Consider the following 17,523-nt stretch of genomic DNA (forward strand, 5'->3'; position numbering starts at 1 on the left):
AACCTGGGAGGTGGAGCCTGCAGTGAGCCGGAGATCGCGCCACTGCACTCCATCCTGGGCGAGAGAGATAGACTGTATCAAAAAAAAAATTATTTAAAAATAAAAATAATTTTTTTTGTAGAGACAGAGGTCTTGCTATGTTGCCCAGGTTGGTCGACATAGCAAGGCCAGGCTGATCCTCTGGCCTCAGCCTCCCAAAGTGCTGGGATTATAGGCGTGAGCCATTGTGCCCAGGCTGGAATATGCTGAATATAAAAGTGCTTGTGAGCTGCTATGTACTATAGGAATGTAATGAAAACGATATTTTACTATTACTGTTTCTACAACAATTCACTTTTATGTGGGAAGTGGTGAGTAAGTCCTGATGACCCTGTGTTAAATCTTTAAGGCCAAATGTCTTCTTTGGTCCTGGCAGGAATAAACAAGTTTTTCAAAAATGGTGTGCAAACACACACACACACATACATAATTACAACCAGCAAATCAGATTATAGAATTTTCTGAACAAATTCACCTCAAAATATATCTATTTATATTTATATATCAAAATTGGAATCACAAATAAATGGGGAAGGGATTGCAATTTCAATAAATTCAGTGCTAGGAAAACCTACAGTGTTACAGCTCTTTTAGAATTTGTCTAGCAGGCTTTCCGGTTTTTGCTGGAAAGCTCCCCAGAAAAAATTCCAAAAAGAAAAAACCTACTAGCAGTTAAGGAGGAAAAAAATCAGCAATTCTACCAGATAAGTAAGGTTAACATTTATTTGATCTTCAGGGAAGGACCCCCTACAGATACATACAAACTTTCCATCCATTAAAGTACAGAGAGAAAACAAAAAAGATAAATACAATGAAAAATATCAAATTTAGGACATAAGACTGTGCATTTAAAAAAAATCCCAAGTAAAATTAAAAGAGCAAAAGAATTAGGGGAAAAAAACTCCAAACATTCCACTAATATAGCTGGCAAAGACATTTTAAAAATACAGAGCATATGCAAACCAATTCTTTAGTAAGATGGAACCATTTATACACTGCATTTGAAATTACAAACTATGATAACTTTTCTGGCAATACAAATCCAGATGTTAAAAAAACGTGCATGCCCTCTGAATAATTCCAGTTCTAAGACTATCAAGGAAAATAATCTGAAATACAAAGGTTTATATACAAAGATGGTTATCATGGCTTTAAAGTAGTGAAAAATGGGGATGATCTAAATATCCAGCTAAAAAGAAATATTTAAATTGTGATATACACTGTAAAGTATTATACAGCCAAACGTTTCTTTTTTTTTTTTTTTTTTTTTTTTGAGAAAGGCTCTTGCTCTGTCACCCAGGCTGGCATGCAGCAGAGCAATCATGACTCACTGCATCCTTGACCTCCCAGGCTCAAGTGATCCCATCCCGAGTGGCTGGGACTACGGAGGCGCATGTTATCATGCTTGGCTTTTTTTTTTTTTAAGTAGAGACGGGGTCTCATTATGTTTCTCAGGCTAGTCTCGAACTCCCAGGCTCCAGCCATCTTCCTGCCTCAGCCTCCCAAAGTGCTGGGATTACACGAATGAGCCACCGCACTCGGCCTCATTTTCTTTCTTAATAATATGGAGAAATGATCACAACATAATGTTAAAAGTATATTTAAAAGGGCATAAAAATAAACATAGCAAATGCACTTTTTTGTTTTTTGTTTTTTGTTTTTTTGAGACGGAGTCTTGCACTGTTGCCCAGGCTGGAGTGCAGTGGCACGATCTCGGTTCACTGCAAGCTCCGCCTCCCGGGTTCACGCCATTCTCCTGCCTCAGCCTCCCGAGTAGCTGGGACTACAGGCACCCGCCATCGTGCCCAGCTAATTTTTGTATTTTTAGTAGAGACGGGGTTTCACTGTGTTAGCCAGGATGGTCTCGATCTCCTGACCTCATGATCCCCCCAACTTGGCCTCCCAAAGTGCTGGGATTACAGGCGTGAGCCACCGCGCCCGGCCACAAATGCATGTTTTATTTTATTTTTATTTATTTTTTGAGACGGAGTCTCGCTTTTTTGCCCAGGCTGGAGTGCAGTGGCACGGTCTCGGCTCACCGCAACCTCCACCTCCCGGATTCAAGTGATTCTCCTGCCCCAGCCTCCCAAGTAGCTGGGATTACAGGTGTGTGCCACCACACCCAGCTAATTTTTTTATTTTTAGTAGAGACAGGGTTTCAGCATGTTGGCCAGGCTCGTCTGAAACTCCTGACCTCAAGTGATCCGCCGCCTCTGCCTCCCCAAGTGTTGGGATTACAGGCATGAGTCACCACGCCTGGCCTGCAAATGTTCGTTTTTAAAGGCATAGGAAAACACATACAAATGAAAAGGCTGAAAGAAAACATAAAACTTTAACATCTGTTATCTCTGGGTGGCAGGATTTTACTTTTCACTTTGTACAGTTTTCAAATATCATATAATGGTTACATATTAACTTTTATAATCAGGAAAAAAATTTTTGGATGCAGCAGCTAAATCCAGGGAAGGTCACTCAGTTTCTTCAACAAATAAATGGCAAAAAATAAATAAATCTTAAGAGATGGCAGGGGAACGGTTACAGATTAAAACAAAATTAAGAGATACCAATCCTGATTCAAACCAACCTAGTAAAAGGACATTTATGAACTATCAGGAACTTTGAACACTGTTTAAATGACATTGTTACATACGTACAATGTCAACGATCACATCTAAAAAGAGTCTTTATCTCTTAGGAATCTCACTAAGTATTTTCAGTTAAAGTGATACAATACCTGGGGTCTAGTTTAAAATAAACCTGCCAAGGGGGGAGAGGTATGGATGAAACAAAACCACCATGAGTTTAACTGTTGAAGGCAAGTGATGGGTCCACAGAGATTCATTACACCATTCTACCTTTTAGTGCTAAAAATTTCAAATTATTAATACATAAAAGGTTTTTTAAAAATACATTTTTATAGAAAAACAAACAATTATCTCTTCCCCTCTCCCCGACTCCATGCAAACAGAGCTCTTCCTGAGAAGGCAGGGATAACATTGGCTAATTCAAGGTCAGAATATGAAAATTCTTTTATTGTGATTTTAAAGAATATGATTTATAATAAAATTACTTTTCACATAGCCAGCCAAATCTTCACAGTGATGAAGAACAATATCATAATTCTTTCCATGTTAAAAATAGGCCGGGCGCGGTGGCTCATGCCTGTAATCCCAGCACTTTGGGAGGCCAAGAAGGTTGGATCACCTGAGGCCAAGAGTTCAACACCAGCCTGGCCAACATGGTGAAACTCCATCTCTACTAAAAATACAAAAAAATTAGCCGGGTGTGGTGGTGCATGCCTGCAGTCTCTGCTACTTGGGAGGCTGAGGCAGGAGAATCACTTGAACCCAGGAGGCAGAGGTTGCAGTGAGCAGAGATTGCACCACTGCACTCCAGCTTGGGTGACAGAGCAAGACTCCATCTGAAAAAATGAAAAAATAAAAACCCTCAGCAAGAAGAAAATGCACAGTAACAATTTAGAATGTATGCAATTATTCATAACTGTTGTCTGGTCAGTAAAAAAGAAAGTTTAAAAAAATAGAACGTATGCAATTAGTTTTTACATAACAGAAAACAGAGATACTGGTCAATGAAATGGGAGGCCAGAGGAAGCATTCTATGCATTTTTATCTTAAAAAGCATCAATAAGTAGTTGGGATGACTTTTATCAGATTACCCAAAGTCTCAGTATAATGAGGTGTTCAAACCTACTCATACACAATACTTTTTACAAAATACTCAAAACTGGTTATTCTTTTAACACAAATGGCTCTCAAATATTACCACACCTAGTTTATGTTCTAATGTAGCTTTACTACTTTCACATCTTAACAAAAGCCCTTCTGATAAAAATCAAAGCAGGAAAATTTTCTGTTTTTAAAATGAGGAACATAGCCCCAGCTAAGGTAGTAATTTCACTATGATCGCACATCTAGTATATGACAGATCTTATACAGGAAGTCACATTGTAAAATCCTGAGCAGGACTCATTCCCCATCTGCCAGATATGACCAATCATGCTAGTTATGTTTCTTTCACCCTTACAAAGACAACTTTAGAGCAGTACAGAAATTAGATAACTATCAAATAACTTCCTATTAGTTTGGCCAGGCGCAGTGGCTCATGCCTGTCATTCCAGCATTTTGGGAGGCTGAGGCAGGCGGATCACCTGAGGTCAGGAGTTCAAGACCAGCCTGGCCAACATGGTGAAACCCCATCTCTACTAAAAATACAAAAATTAGCTGGGCGTGGTGGTGTGTCCCTGTAATCCCAGCTACTTGGGAGGCTGAGGCAGAAGAATTGCTTGAACCTAGGAGGCGGAGGTTGCATTGAGCTGAGATCACACTCCAGCCTGGACAACAGAGCAAGACACCATCTCGAAAAAAAAAAAAAAAAAACTTCCTATTCGTTCTTAGTAACGAAATACTTTTCTCTTAAACTACATTTGCTTCTCTGATGGGAAGTAGGCAAGAAAAGGATGCAGACTTGGCTGGGCATGGTGGCTCACACCTATAATCCCAGCACTTTGGAAGGCCGAGGCAGGCAGATCATGAGGTCAGGAGTTTGAGACCAGCCTGGCCAACAAGATGAAACCCCATCTCTACTAAAGATACAAAAAAAAAAGACAAAAGTTAGCTGGGTGTGGTGGTGCATGACTGTAATCCCAGCTACTCGGGAGGCTGAGGCAGGAGAACTGCTTGACCCTAGGAGGTGGAGGTTGCAGTGAGCTGAGATCATGCCATTGCACTCCAGTCTGGGCAACAGGGTGAGACATCATCTCAAAAAAAAAAAAAAAAGAAAGAAAGAAAAAGAAAAGGATGCAGACTCAAGTTCAAATTGGTCAATTAATGTTTGCTAAAAATTATTCTAAAGCTATACCTGGGAGAAGTTAAAGACATACAAAATTTAAATGTTGAAATAAACCCCATTACATGCCCTTGATGTCACAATTCTCTGTGATCTAAACTCACGCAGGATTAAAACTCCCTGAAACTCATCATTACAATTTTTTTTTTCTTTTTTGAGACGGAGTCTTGCTCTGTTGCCCAGGCTGGAGTGCAGTGGCGCAATCTAGACTCACTGCAACCTCCACCTCCCGGGTTCCAGTGATTCTCTGCCTTAATCTCTCGAGTAATTGGCACTACAGGCACGCGCCACCACATCCAACTAATTTTTGTACTTTTAGTAGAGACGGGGTTTCACCATGTTGGTCAGGCTGGTCTCAAACTCCTGACCTCTGGTGATCAGTCTCCCAAAGTGCTGGGATGACAGGCGTGAGCCACTGCACCCAGCCAATCCCTGAAATTCTTATAATTTTACAAGAAAGTGAAAGCTTAAAGACACCCTTTTCAGAGGGCATACTATTCAAAAGGAAGAGACTACAGCAGGCAAGAAAGGACAACAGAAGTTTATTTTCCACAGAATACAACAGGAATATACAGAAGCAACTACGTCAGCATGGCCAGAGGCCACTGTATAGATCAGGTATAGATTAGTGCAGGGGTCCCCAGCCTCCAGGCCATGGACTGGTACTGGTCTGTGGCCTGTTAGGAACCTGGCAGCACAGCAGAAGGAGGTGAGGTGCGGGCCAGCAAGCATTACCACCTGAGCATTACCACCTGAGCTCTGCCTTCTATCAGATCAGCGGTGGCATTAGATTCTCACTGGAGCGACTGCATGCGAGGGATCTAGGCTGCACGATCCTTATGAAAAAATAATGTCTGATGATCTGAGGTAGAATAGCTTCATCCCAAAACCATTCTCCCCACGCCCCCCACCCCTGCCCCAGCCCACTGAAAAAACTGTCTTCTATGAAAATGGTCCCTGGTGCAAAAAAGGTTGGGGACCACTGGATTAGAGTATACCAAGTCTTCATTTATTTATATTCAACAAATCACAACTTCACAAGTGGCACTATTACAACTTTGGAGATACAGCAGTTCTCGCCCACTCAATTAAGAATCACTTGAATTGGAAAGAGGAAAGAACTGAGGCTCTGAAAGCTTCAGTAATTTGCCCAGTCACACAGCACAGGAGGTGGGATTCAAACGCCCTGTCTTCTCTCACTTCTCCTTTCTTGAAAAGGATGTATCTAACAAATTCTCAGGGGACAAAGTAACCAGCAAGAGAGTTCAGAGGAGGATACAGAAGAAACAAAGGTAGCTTTTACCATCAAGAGCTTGCAATCAAGTTAACTGTTAATTTAAATTAAATAATTGCATACCAATAGATAATTAACAACTAAATAAATGTTACAAATTACCTTTGTGATCACTACTTTGGAGAAAGCTCAAAACTCAAGGAAAGGAGAACGCTTTTCTCCTTGACCTTCTATTCCATCACTACTAGGCTTAACTCTTCAAGGTCAGAGAGAATTTCCTCATCTCCTTAATGTTTCCATTTCTCTGCAACACATGATTCTGTTAAGATTCATCCCCCAGGTGGCCACCATTTTTCTAGAAATTCTCATTAAATGTGACCCTATTTTCTCAGGTGCCTTAGTCTATTGGGATGCTTAAACAAAATAACACAGACTGGGTAACTTACAAACAGAAATTTACTTCTCACGGTTCTGGAGGCTAGGAAGTCCAAGATCAAGGCACTGGTAGATTCAGTGTCTGCTGAGGACCCACTCTCTGGTTGGTAGATGGTGCCTTCTCACTGTGTCCTACTATGGTGGAAGAGGGCAAGCAGCTCTCTGAGCCCTCTTTTATAAGGGCACTACTCCTCATGATGATGGCTCCACCCTCATGACTTAATCACTACCCAAAGGCCCACCTCCTCCTAATACTATCACACTGGGGGTTAGGATTTCAAATATGAATTGTGGGGAACACAAGCATTCAGACCAAAGGACTGTCTTAAACATTACCTTCTCTTTCCTTGGCGACCCTTTTTTCTTTACCTCTATCTGACTCCTATTCTAGGATCACTTTAGACAACACTTGCCAAAACATCATGGGACAGCAGAAAGAACATCCTTAGACAAAAAACTTAAGGCAGTACTGAGAAATATTAATAGATAAATCACTTAGCCTTGTTGTGACTTCAGTTTATCTATAAAACAAGAGTGATAATTGAAACTATTCATTTTAAACAGTTGCGCAAAGATCAAGTGAGAATTTGTAACAGTACTTAATAAACTGAAAAAGTTTTAAAACTTGGGGTCAGTTGAAGACCAAAGTATCTTTAACCCTTAGCCCAAGTTCTCTGTATAGTGCTCTGGAGTGTGTGTGTTCCACTGGGGCCAAAGTTATCACTCATCTGCATAAAAGGGAAAGAAAAGAAAGAAGTCTTCTGTTCTTAATCTTGGTCTCTCACCTACTAATGTCCTGTCCTTTCCTGGCCGCAGTTTACTCTTGTACAATCCTAAGAATTCTCTCTGTGCCTGGTCAAGGTCCAGGGGTAAAACTGATCATAAAGAGTCAAACAAAGGAAAGCTTTTCAATTAAATCATCTTTGTTTGTATTCAATATCATAACCATAAGTTTCATAATTTGAAAACGTTTTCTAAAATTTCCACCCAAGAGGGCACATGTCATCAGGACCTCCTGTGTCATGGAGAGAAAATTTTTTAATCCTAAAAAAAAGGCTAGGCGTGGGGGCTCACGCCTATAATCCCAGCACTTTGCGGGGCCAAGGCAGGAGGACTACGAGGTCAGGAATTCAAGACCAGCCTGGCCAACATGGTGAAACGCCGCCTCGACTAAAAATACAAAAATTAGCCAGGTGTGGCGGCACATGCCTGTACACCCAGCTACTCTGGAGGCTGAGGCAGGAGAACTGCTTGAACCTGGGAGGCAGACGTTGCAGTGAGCCAACACCAAGCCATTGCACTCCAGCCAGGGCAACAGAGTGAGACTCCATCACAAAAAAAAAAAAAAGAAAAAAAATTCTACCCAAGAATATTTACTAGTCATATTCTAAATTTTAACATTTTAAAATCAGGAAAATGTGACCAGGCGCGGTGGCTCACGCCTGTAATCCCAGCACTTTGGGAGGCTGAGACGGGCAGATCACGAGGTCAGGAAATCAAGACCAGCCGGGCCAACATGGTGAAACCCCGTCTCTACTAAAAATATTTTTAAAAAAATTAGCCGGGCATAGTGGCACACGCGTAGTCCCAAGTCAGCAACTTGGGAGGCTGAGGCAGGAGAATCGCTTGAACCTGGTAGGAGGAGGTTGCAGTGAGACGAGATCACACTACTGCACTCCAGCCTGGGTGACAAGGCGAGACTCCGTCTCAAACAAACAAACAAACAAAAACTCAGGAAAATGTTTTTCTTTTTTTTTTTTTTTCTTTTTTCTTTTTTTGAGCCGGAGTCTCCCTCTGTCACCCAGGCTGGAGTGCAGCAGCACATTCTCAGCTCACTGCAACCTCCACCTCCTGGGTCCAAGTGATTCTCCTGCCTCACCCTCCCAAGTATCTGGGATTACAGGTGCGTGCCATCACACCCAGCTAGTTTTTATATGGTTAGTAGAGACGGAGTTTTGCCATGTTGGACAGGCTGGTCTCGAACTCCTTACTTCAGATGATCCACCTGCCTCAGCCTCTCAAAGTGCTGGGATTACAGGCGTGAGCCACTGTGCCCGACCAGGAAAATGTTTTCCATAAATCAGAAACAGAAAAATTTAACAGAAAATATAAAAATTCCAGGCCAGGCCTGTAATCCCAGCACTTTGGGAGGCCAAGCTGGGTGGATCACCTGAGGTCAGGAGTTCGAGACCAGCCCGGCTAACATGGTGGAAACCCATATCTACTAAAAATACAAAAATCAGCTGGGCGTGGTAGTGCACATCTGTAATCCCAGCTACTTGGGAGGCTGAGGCAGGAGAATCGCTTGAACCCAGGAAGCAGAGGTTGCAGCAAGCCGAGATCGTGCCACTGCACTCCAGCCTGGGTGACAAAGCAAGACTCTGTCTCAAAAAAAAAAAAAAAAAAGATACATATATATATATATTCCATACTATGTTGATCCCACATAATAGTGCATACAAGTAACTTATAAATGATTTTTTTTTTTTTTGGAGACAGGGTCTCTATTGCCCAGGCTGTAGTGCAGTGGTGTAATCATGGCTCACTGCATCCTTGACCTCCTGAGCTCAAGCCATCTTCCCACCTCAACCCCCCAAGCAGCTAGGACTACAGGTGTGTGCCACCACAATGGCTTCGCTTATAAATGTTAAGCAAGCAGTAGGTTTTTGTTTTGAGATAGGGTCTCTGTTGCCCAGGCTGGAGTGCAGTGGCGTGATCACAGCTCCCTGCAGCCTCAGCCTCCCCAGCTCAAGCAATCCTCCCACCTCAGGCTCCGGAGCAGCTGAGCCCACAGGTGCATGCCATCACACTCAGCCAATTTTTTTACTTTTTTGTAGAGAGAGGGGGTCTCGATGTGTTGCCCAGGTAGGTCTTGAACTCCTGGGCTCAGGTGATCTCCCCACCTCAGCCTTCCAAATTGCTGGGATTACAGGCATGAGCCACCATACCTGGCCAGAAAGCAGTTTTTAACAGCTGTATTACAAAATACTGGTGTGTTCTAAACTTGAGAGGTATATTACAAGCAATGGTACCAGTTTGTTAAAGATGAATGTTATCTAAATAAATTACAACAGAATCAAGACTTTTCCTTAATATTTCATTCACATGCTTGTCTATATGATTTCTCTGAGCAGAAAGAAGCAGAGTGCTGAGCGCAGTGGCTCACACCTGTAAAACCAATTCTGACAGGCTGAGGCAGAAGAATTGCTTGAGCCTAGGAGTTTGAGACCAGCCTGCCAAGGTGGTGAAACCGTCTCTACAAAAAACTTTAATAATTAGCCAGGCATGCTAGCATGTGCCTTCTTATGTAGTAGTCCCAGCTACTCAGAAGGCTGAGAAGGGAGGATAACTTGAGCCCAGGAGTTCAAGGCTACCGTGAGCTATGATCACACCACTGCACTCCAACCTGTGTGACAGAGACCCTGTTTCTAATTAAAATAAAAATGAAAGAAGCGGACTATGGCTACTGCTCTCCAAACTAAGTAACTCACAGCCTCTTTCTTCCATATCATAGCTGAGATGACATGTGCACAAAGATGCGCATAAACATCATTAGTCATACTGGGAAAAATGCTTAGAACTACTGTGATAAAGAAAGCAATTATTGGGCCAGGCGCGGTGGCTCACACCTGTAATCCCAGCACTTTGGGAAGCCAAGGCAGGCGAATCACCTGAGGCCTGGAGCTCAAGACCAGCCTGGCCAATATGGTGAAACCCCATCTCTACTAAAAATACAAAAATTAGCTGAGCATGGTGGTGGGTGCCTGTAGTCCCAGCTACTTGGGAGGCTGAGGCAGGAGAATTGCTTGAACCCAGGAGGTGGAGGTTGCAGTGAGCCGAGACTATGCTCTGTGCCACTGCACTCCAGCATGGGCAACAAGAGCAAAACCCTGTCAAAAAAAAAAAAAAAGAAAGAAGGAAAGAAAGAAAAGCAAGCAAGCAAGCAAGGATTAACAAATAAAATAAACAAACAGATTTTAAAAGTCTGTTCAAAATTTCAAGCAAGTCAGTTTCTTCTACATTACCTTTCCCAAGAGTAACAAAGCAGCAAAATATATATTGTATAAAAAGCAAACTTGTTTTTGCCAGGGCATGGTAGCTGTAATCCCAGGACTTTGGGAGGCTGAGGTGGGCAGATCACTTGAGGTCAGGAGTTCGACACCAGCCTGGCCAACAGAGTGAAACCCCGTCCCTATTAAAAATACAAAAATTAGCCGGGCATGGTGGCAGGTGCCTGTAATCCCAACTACTCAGGAAGTTGAGGCACAAGAATCGCTTGAACTCGGGAGGTGGAGGTTGCAGTGAGCTGAGATCGTGCCACTGCACTCTAGCCCGGGTGACAGAGTGAGACTCCATCTCAAAAAAAAAAAAAAAGAGCAAACTTGTTTTTAAAAACTATGTTGTGGCCGGGTGCAGTGGCTCATGCCTATAATCCCAGCACTTTGGGAGGCCAAGGCGGGCGGATCACGAGGTCAGGAGATCGAGACCATCCTGGCTAACATGGTGAAACTCCGTCTCTACTAAAAATACAAAAAAATTAGCCGGGCATGGTGGCAGGTACCTGTAGTCCCAGCTACTCGGGAGGCTGAGGCAGGAGAATGGCATGAACCCGGGAAGCGGAGCTTGCAGTGAGCCGACATTGCGCCACTGCACTCTAGCCTGGGCCACAGAGCGAGACTCCGTCTCAAAAAAAAAAAAAAATAAATATGTTAAAAGATAAAAGATGATAGCAGCCAGAACACTGACTTCTAAGTCTGGTGCATATACCAGGAAGATGCTTACTGCATCCCTAATTCAATTTGAAATACTTTTATTAGCTATTAAATTTTGAAAGCTCTGCACTTGTAATACTTGTCAATGAGTGCAGTCAGGCATAAACCAGCTTCATTCTGTCATTCTGTATTTTTACAAAGCTGAGACACATCTGTGCTTTGGCCTAAATTTAAAAAAAAAAAAAGGAAATGAAAATTCAATATGAAAATAAGCAATAAGAAGGTAACTTTCTCCAAAACAAAAGAACAGAGGTCGTAAATGTTATCAAATACATATGTAAGCCCTACTATACACCTAAAAATTGGTTTAGTTTAGAAAAATGTACTTTTCCAAAGAGTTAATTCTTTAAAAATAAAATATGCATTTATAATTTAAAATTTAAATACCAAAAGTTAAAAAAAAATGGAAAAATGCAGGTACTTTCCTCTCCTCAGAGATAGCTTCTATTAAAAATCTTCACGTCAGCTGGGCACGGTGACTCATGCCTGTAATCCCAGCACTTTGGGAGGCCAAGGCAGGCGGTCAAGAGATCAAGACCATCCTGGTCAACATGGTGAAACCCCGTCTCTACTAAAAATACAAAAATTAGCTGGGCATGGTGGCACGCGCCTGTAATCTCAGCTACTCAGGAGGCTGAGGCTGGAGAATCACTTGAACCCGGGAGGCAGAGGTTGCAGTGAGCAGAGATCGGGCCACTGCACTCCAGCCTACTGACAGAGCGAGACTCCGTCTCAAAAAAAAAAAAAAAAAAAAAACCTTCATGTCTGACCAGGTGCAATGGCTCACACCTGTAATCCCAGCACTTTGGGAGGCGAAGCCAGGTGGACTGCATGAGCTCAGGAGTTCGAGACCAGCCTGGGCAACATTGCAAAACCCCAACTCTACAAAAAATACAAAAATTAGCCAGGCGTGGTCTCAGCTACTAGGGAGGCTGAGGTGGGTTGGTAGCTTGAGCCTGGGAGGTGGAGGCTGCAATGAGCCGAGATCGCCCCACTGCACTTCAACTTGGATGACAGAGTGAGACTCCCGTCACACACACACACACACACACACACACACACACACACACACACACACACACAAAAGAAAAAGAAAAACCTTTATGTCTCAGGAAGATTTTAGAATTCAAAAAATACCAAAAATAAATAAATTAAAAAAATATTTTAAAACTTCATGTAACATTTTCTAAGCATATGCAAGTATGTATATATATATATATGCTATATATACTTGTTGAATTATGATTAAAATAATTTAAGAAGTCTCAGCTGGGTGCAGTGGCTCACGCCTGTAATCCTAGCACTTTGGGAGGCCCAGACAGGTGGATCACCTAAGGTCAGGAGTTCGAGACCAGCCTGGCCAACATGGTGAAACTCTGTCTCTACTAAATATACAAAAATTAGCTGGGCATGGTGGCGCACGTCTGTAATCCCAGCTACTCAGGAGGCTGAGGCAGGAGAATTGCTTGAACCCGGGAGGCAGAGGTTACAGTGAGCCGAGATCACCCCACTGCACTCCAGTCTGGGCAACAAAGTGAGACTCTGTTTCAAAAAAAAAAATTAAGAAGTCTTTAATATAGCTTCTATTTGTAATTAGACTGGCTGCTGTAATTATTCAGTTTTTAGGTTAACTATTTAAGGCCATGGTTCACCATAATATTATTTATAATTGTGAAAAACTGGAAACTACATTCATGCCCAATATTAAAGGAAAACTTCAAATAAATCTGTTTATTTAAAATATCTTTGGATGCAGTGGTTCATGCCTGTAATCCCAGCACTTTGGGAGGTCAAGGCAGAAGGATCATTTGAGCCCAGGAATTCCATACCAACCTGAGCCTGTCTCTACAGAAAACAAACAAAAAAAAATTAGTGTGGTAGTATGGACCTGTGGTCCTAGCTACTCAGGAGGCAGAGGTGGGAGAATCGCATGAGCCCAGAAGGTTGAGGCTGCAGTGAGCCATGATCACGCCACTAAATTCAAATAGTAAAACACAAATCAAAGGAGAAAATGTAGGAAGAACTCTGATGATTGTATCAACGAATACAAAGTAATAGGTTTTGGGTGTGGGGAATGAGCAGGTAATACAAAAGGAAGAAGAAAATGCTACAAATTTACTTGAAGCCTGGTAGGCTCTCAGCACTCAATACAACAATGCAAGACCTAGGAGTCTTTGCAGAATGTTTTTTGTTTGTTTATTGTTTTGAGACGGAGTCTCGCTCTGTCGCAAGGCTGGAGTGCAGTGGCACAATGGCTCACTGCAACCTCCACCTTCCGAGTTCAAGTGATTCTCCTGCCTCAGCCTCCCAAGTAGCTGGGATTACAGGCGCGCATGACCACACCCAGCTAATTTTTGTATTTTTAGTAGAGACGGGATTTCACCACGTTGGTCAGGATGGTCTCAATCTCTCGACCTCGTGATCCACCGGCCTCGGCTTCCCAAAGTGCTGGGATTACAGGCATGAGCCACCGCGCCCAGCCGCAGAATGTTTTTTAAGGTCATCTGTCTGTGCAACTTCAGGCAAAAAGACCAACAAAACAACGGACTTCATTAAGGACAGGATTGGAAAAGGGACAGAAAACACTATCCTGTCCTGAACAAAAACATGGCCTCTCTTAAAGTACTGAACACAATTCTAAACTCTGTAGTTCAGAAGCAGTAGGGTACAGTGATTAAAAAGATTTGGGTTTCAAATTCAAGTTTCTGCCACTTACTGTGTCTCATTGTCTTCATTTGTATGATACCTACATATCTGAGTTGCTTTGCAGTTAAATGAAAACATGTAACAGTAATTTTTAGCATAATACTTGACATATAAAGTAGTGTTCCCAAAAAATGGTAGCTATCATTACTACTATAAAGAAGCAATCTTCCAAGGAAAAGCCACTAAAACATTGAGAGATTCTCAAAGTTTGATATGCATTAAAATCACCTGACAGATTTATTGAAAATACAGATTCTAAGAACCCATTTCTCACAGAAATTAATTCCACAGGTCTAAAGTAGAATATAAGTGTACTCTGACCCAAACACCAAAGAGAATAAGGCACTGCCCAATAAAGAGGCTGAAAATTAGGACTTTTCCATGGGAAAAAAAAATGGCCTACAATAGACAGTATGTTCAAGAGGAATACAGACATGTTCACTAAGTTCATTTATTCAATCAACATTCACTGAGTACCTACTATGCAGTGAAAAGGACAGACAAGGTTCCATATTCACAGAGCTTAATTTCCAGGGTAGGAGACGGAACATTTTTTTAAAATTCCATATATTGATAAATGCTGTGAAGAAAATAAAATACAAGGGAGAGATTGGTCAGTCTCCTTGAAGAGGCAACATCTGACCTAACACCTGAATAACACAATGGTATCAACCACAGCAAGATCTGGGAGAAGAGTACTGAAGCCCCAGCGTTCAGCAAATGCAAAGGCCCTACAGCAAGAACCAGCTTGGCAAGTTCCAGGGACAAAAATGCAAGTGGGATTAGAATACAGGAAGAAACTCACATGGCCAGGCTCCAGGGTACTGAACTAAGTAGAAGGATACAAGGTAAGATAAGAGAGGAAGGCAGTGCTGAAACATGTAGCACCTGACAAGCTTTGGTAGAGTTTGGATTTTATTCTGAATATGGATGGAAAACTTTCAACAAGGGGGTGTCAAGGTAATTTACATTTTAAAGGATCTCTTAGGCTGGTAAGGGAAATGCATAATAAAAAGCCAAAGTGGAAGCAGGGAGACCAGGAGTTGCTGCAACAGATCAGGTAAGAGATGAAGATAGCCTGGCAAAGCTGATGGCAGTAGGGATGGGAAGAAGTGGACAAATTTAGAATACATATTGAATACTATAAGCCAAATCAAAGAAAAAGAAACTAGATTATGTAATAAGTAGTAAACATCTAGGACTAATCATCCAAGAGATGCAAAATGAAAATAGAGATTTAAAGATTTTAGGTAAGTTTATGAGGCTCAAACTCAAAATAGGTTATTAGCAGATTTAGGATAGTTCATGGCATGTACTTATCCTCTGAAGTTGAGATGAAGAGGACGTTTCCTTCCATAGCAGGCTCTTTTGGTGCCAACTGGTAAAGCACTGGACTAAATGGGCACACACCAAGACTCAATGCATATTAAGTGTGATGTGGGCCAGGTGAAGTGGCTCACGCATGTAATCCCAGCACCGTGGGCGGCCAAGGTGGGCAGATCACTTGAGGTCAGGAGTTTGACACCAGCCTGGCCAACATGGTGAAACCCCGTCTCTACTAAAAATACAAAAATTAGTCGGGCGTGATGGTGTGCACCTGTAATCCCAGCTACTCAGGAGGCTAAGGCTGGAGAATCACTTGAACCCGGGAGGCAGAGGTTGCAGTGAGCTGAGATCCACCACTGCACTCCAGCCTGTACAATAGAGCAAGACTCCATCTCCCAAAAAAAAAAAAAAAAAAAAAAAAAAGTGTGACGTGTAAAGTTAAAATCTTCCAGGACCTTACTGCCTGGGGCCTGAACATCTGATCAGCATTTGGAATAGAGTATAACTATGGAACAGAACTAAATCTTTACCCGAATCAAACCACTGAGTAGCAAAAACTACTTAAACTTTCATATTATCCTCAGGCTGTGCTTTCTTTCCCAAGAGCCAAACAAGTGAGGTCTTACTTTGCCACACAATGCATATTAATTTCTTAAATGTTACATTATCATAGAGATTTGTGAGGAAATCTTTTAAAACCATGCTTTTAATAATTATGGTTTGCCAAACATAGAAGTCCCCCATTATCCACAAGGGATACATTCAAAGAAACTCCAGTGGGCTGGACCTGGTGTCTCAGCATCCCTGTAATCCTAGCATTTTGGGAGGCTGAGGCCAGAAGATCACTTGAGCTTAGGAGTTTGAGACCAGCCTGGACAACACAGTGAGATCTCGTCTCTATTAAATTTTAAAATTAAAAAATTATAAAACAACCCCCCCCCAGTGGATGCCTAAAGCCCATATAGTACAGAACCCTATATATGGACTGTTTTTTTCCTATACACACCTACGATAAAATTCAATTTATAAATTAGGCACAGTAAGAGACTGACAATAGTTAATAATAGAACAGTTATAACAATATACTATAATAAAAGTTATGTGAATGTGGTCTCTGAAAATATGATTGTATTTTCAAACTGCGGTTGACCACAGAAACTGAAACTCGGGAAACCCCTGAAAGTGAAACCACGGATAAGGGGGCACTACTGTGTAGTGAATACGCTCTAAAATTTAAGGTCCAAAGTCCATGTCTGAAAAATTTAAATTATTACTCAAAAAAGAAGTACTAGAATGTGAAAAAGCAGGTTATGTACTGAAAAGCATATGTGGTATGATACCATATTTGTATAAAATATATAAATGCAAAAAAGTAGTTTAGAAGGGTATAAACTAACATTTTGGTGATCTTTGGGTGGCAGGATTATTGATTTTTTTTTCCTATCTGCTTTTATCAACATCTTCTCTATTACACAAAGTATTTCGTATAACCAAAAATATTAGTTATAGGCTAGCATAAAAGGTAAAAAGCTGAAAAAGAACTTCAAGAAATCTTTCCTTCTTCTAAATCAGAAGGATTCCAACTACAGTAGTAAGAAAAAATATCTCAACGGCAAACACTGGAGAAAAGATTCGTTAAGGGGTTCATGTTATACCACAAGGACATACCCTTCAAGGAAATAATCTAAACTCATAACTCTTCCTGGGTTTGATAAGGAGCAATTAACTATCACGTACTGTTGTTCTTTCTTGCTGTTAACCACTGAAACACCTCAATTAATGAGTTCTCGGGGGTGAAGCGGTGTTCTTAAACACCACGTTGGAAAAAAAAAAAAAGTTAGGACAAAAAGGTTTGGTTTTCTGGTCGCAGTGCTGTCGACGGCCGCGGAGAGCGGCAAGTTCGGAGCAGGCTACACTAAAGGAATCTGCGCGGCCAGCCACCCTAAGTGGAAGGGAATGCAAAGCCTCCTGCAACCTCCACAGCGCTGGGCAGCAAGAATGCCTCCTAAGCGTCCCAACACTCCAACACCTGGAAGGTCTTACGCTTTCCAAGTTATAATATGTACAGCTGCTGTTTCTGACAATAACACACACAAACTGGAAGGTCTCTTCTGCAAATGTAGCTATTACGTGTGTGAAGCTCAT

At 41.8% G+C, this 17,523-nt stretch overlaps 1 protein-coding gene and 1 pseudogene across 6 annotated transcripts in view, besides 1 other annotated feature; one reads left to right on the forward strand and one right to left on the reverse strand.

Annotated features, from left to right (window-relative positions):
• The window catches only part of SMIM14 (small integral membrane protein 14), a 92,530-nt gene that overhangs the window by 74,063 nt on the left and 944 nt on the right, over positions 1–17,523 (reverse strand). For 2 of the 6 annotated variants that reach the window (NM_001317897.2, XM_047449744.1), the window contains exon 1: positions 6,586–6,723. The exons of the other annotated variants lie outside the window; for them this stretch is intronic. The gene's annotated coding sequence lies outside the window, so the exon portion shown is untranslated. Of the gene's footprint in view, positions 1–6,585; positions 6,724–17,523 lie in introns of those variants that run through there. 6 annotated transcript variants of the gene reach the window in all.
• RNU7-11P (RNA, U7 small nuclear 11 pseudogene) lies at positions 614–674 on the forward strand (annotated as a pseudogene).
• Positions 5,396–5,475: an enhancer, noted in NCBI's record as "active region_21464". NCBI's record gives its function as "activates an Ori minimal core promoter by ATAC-STARR-seq in GM12878 lymphoblastoid cells {active_cell/tissue: GM12878}" and the evidence as "EXISTENCE:reporter gene assay evidence [ECO:0000049][PMID:35858748]".

This window comes from Homo sapiens, chromosome 4 (assembly GCF_000001405.40).
Source record: "Homo sapiens chromosome 4, GRCh38.p14 Primary Assembly".
Classification (NCBI taxonomy): Eukaryota; Metazoa; Chordata; class Mammalia; order Primates; family Hominidae; genus Homo; species Homo sapiens.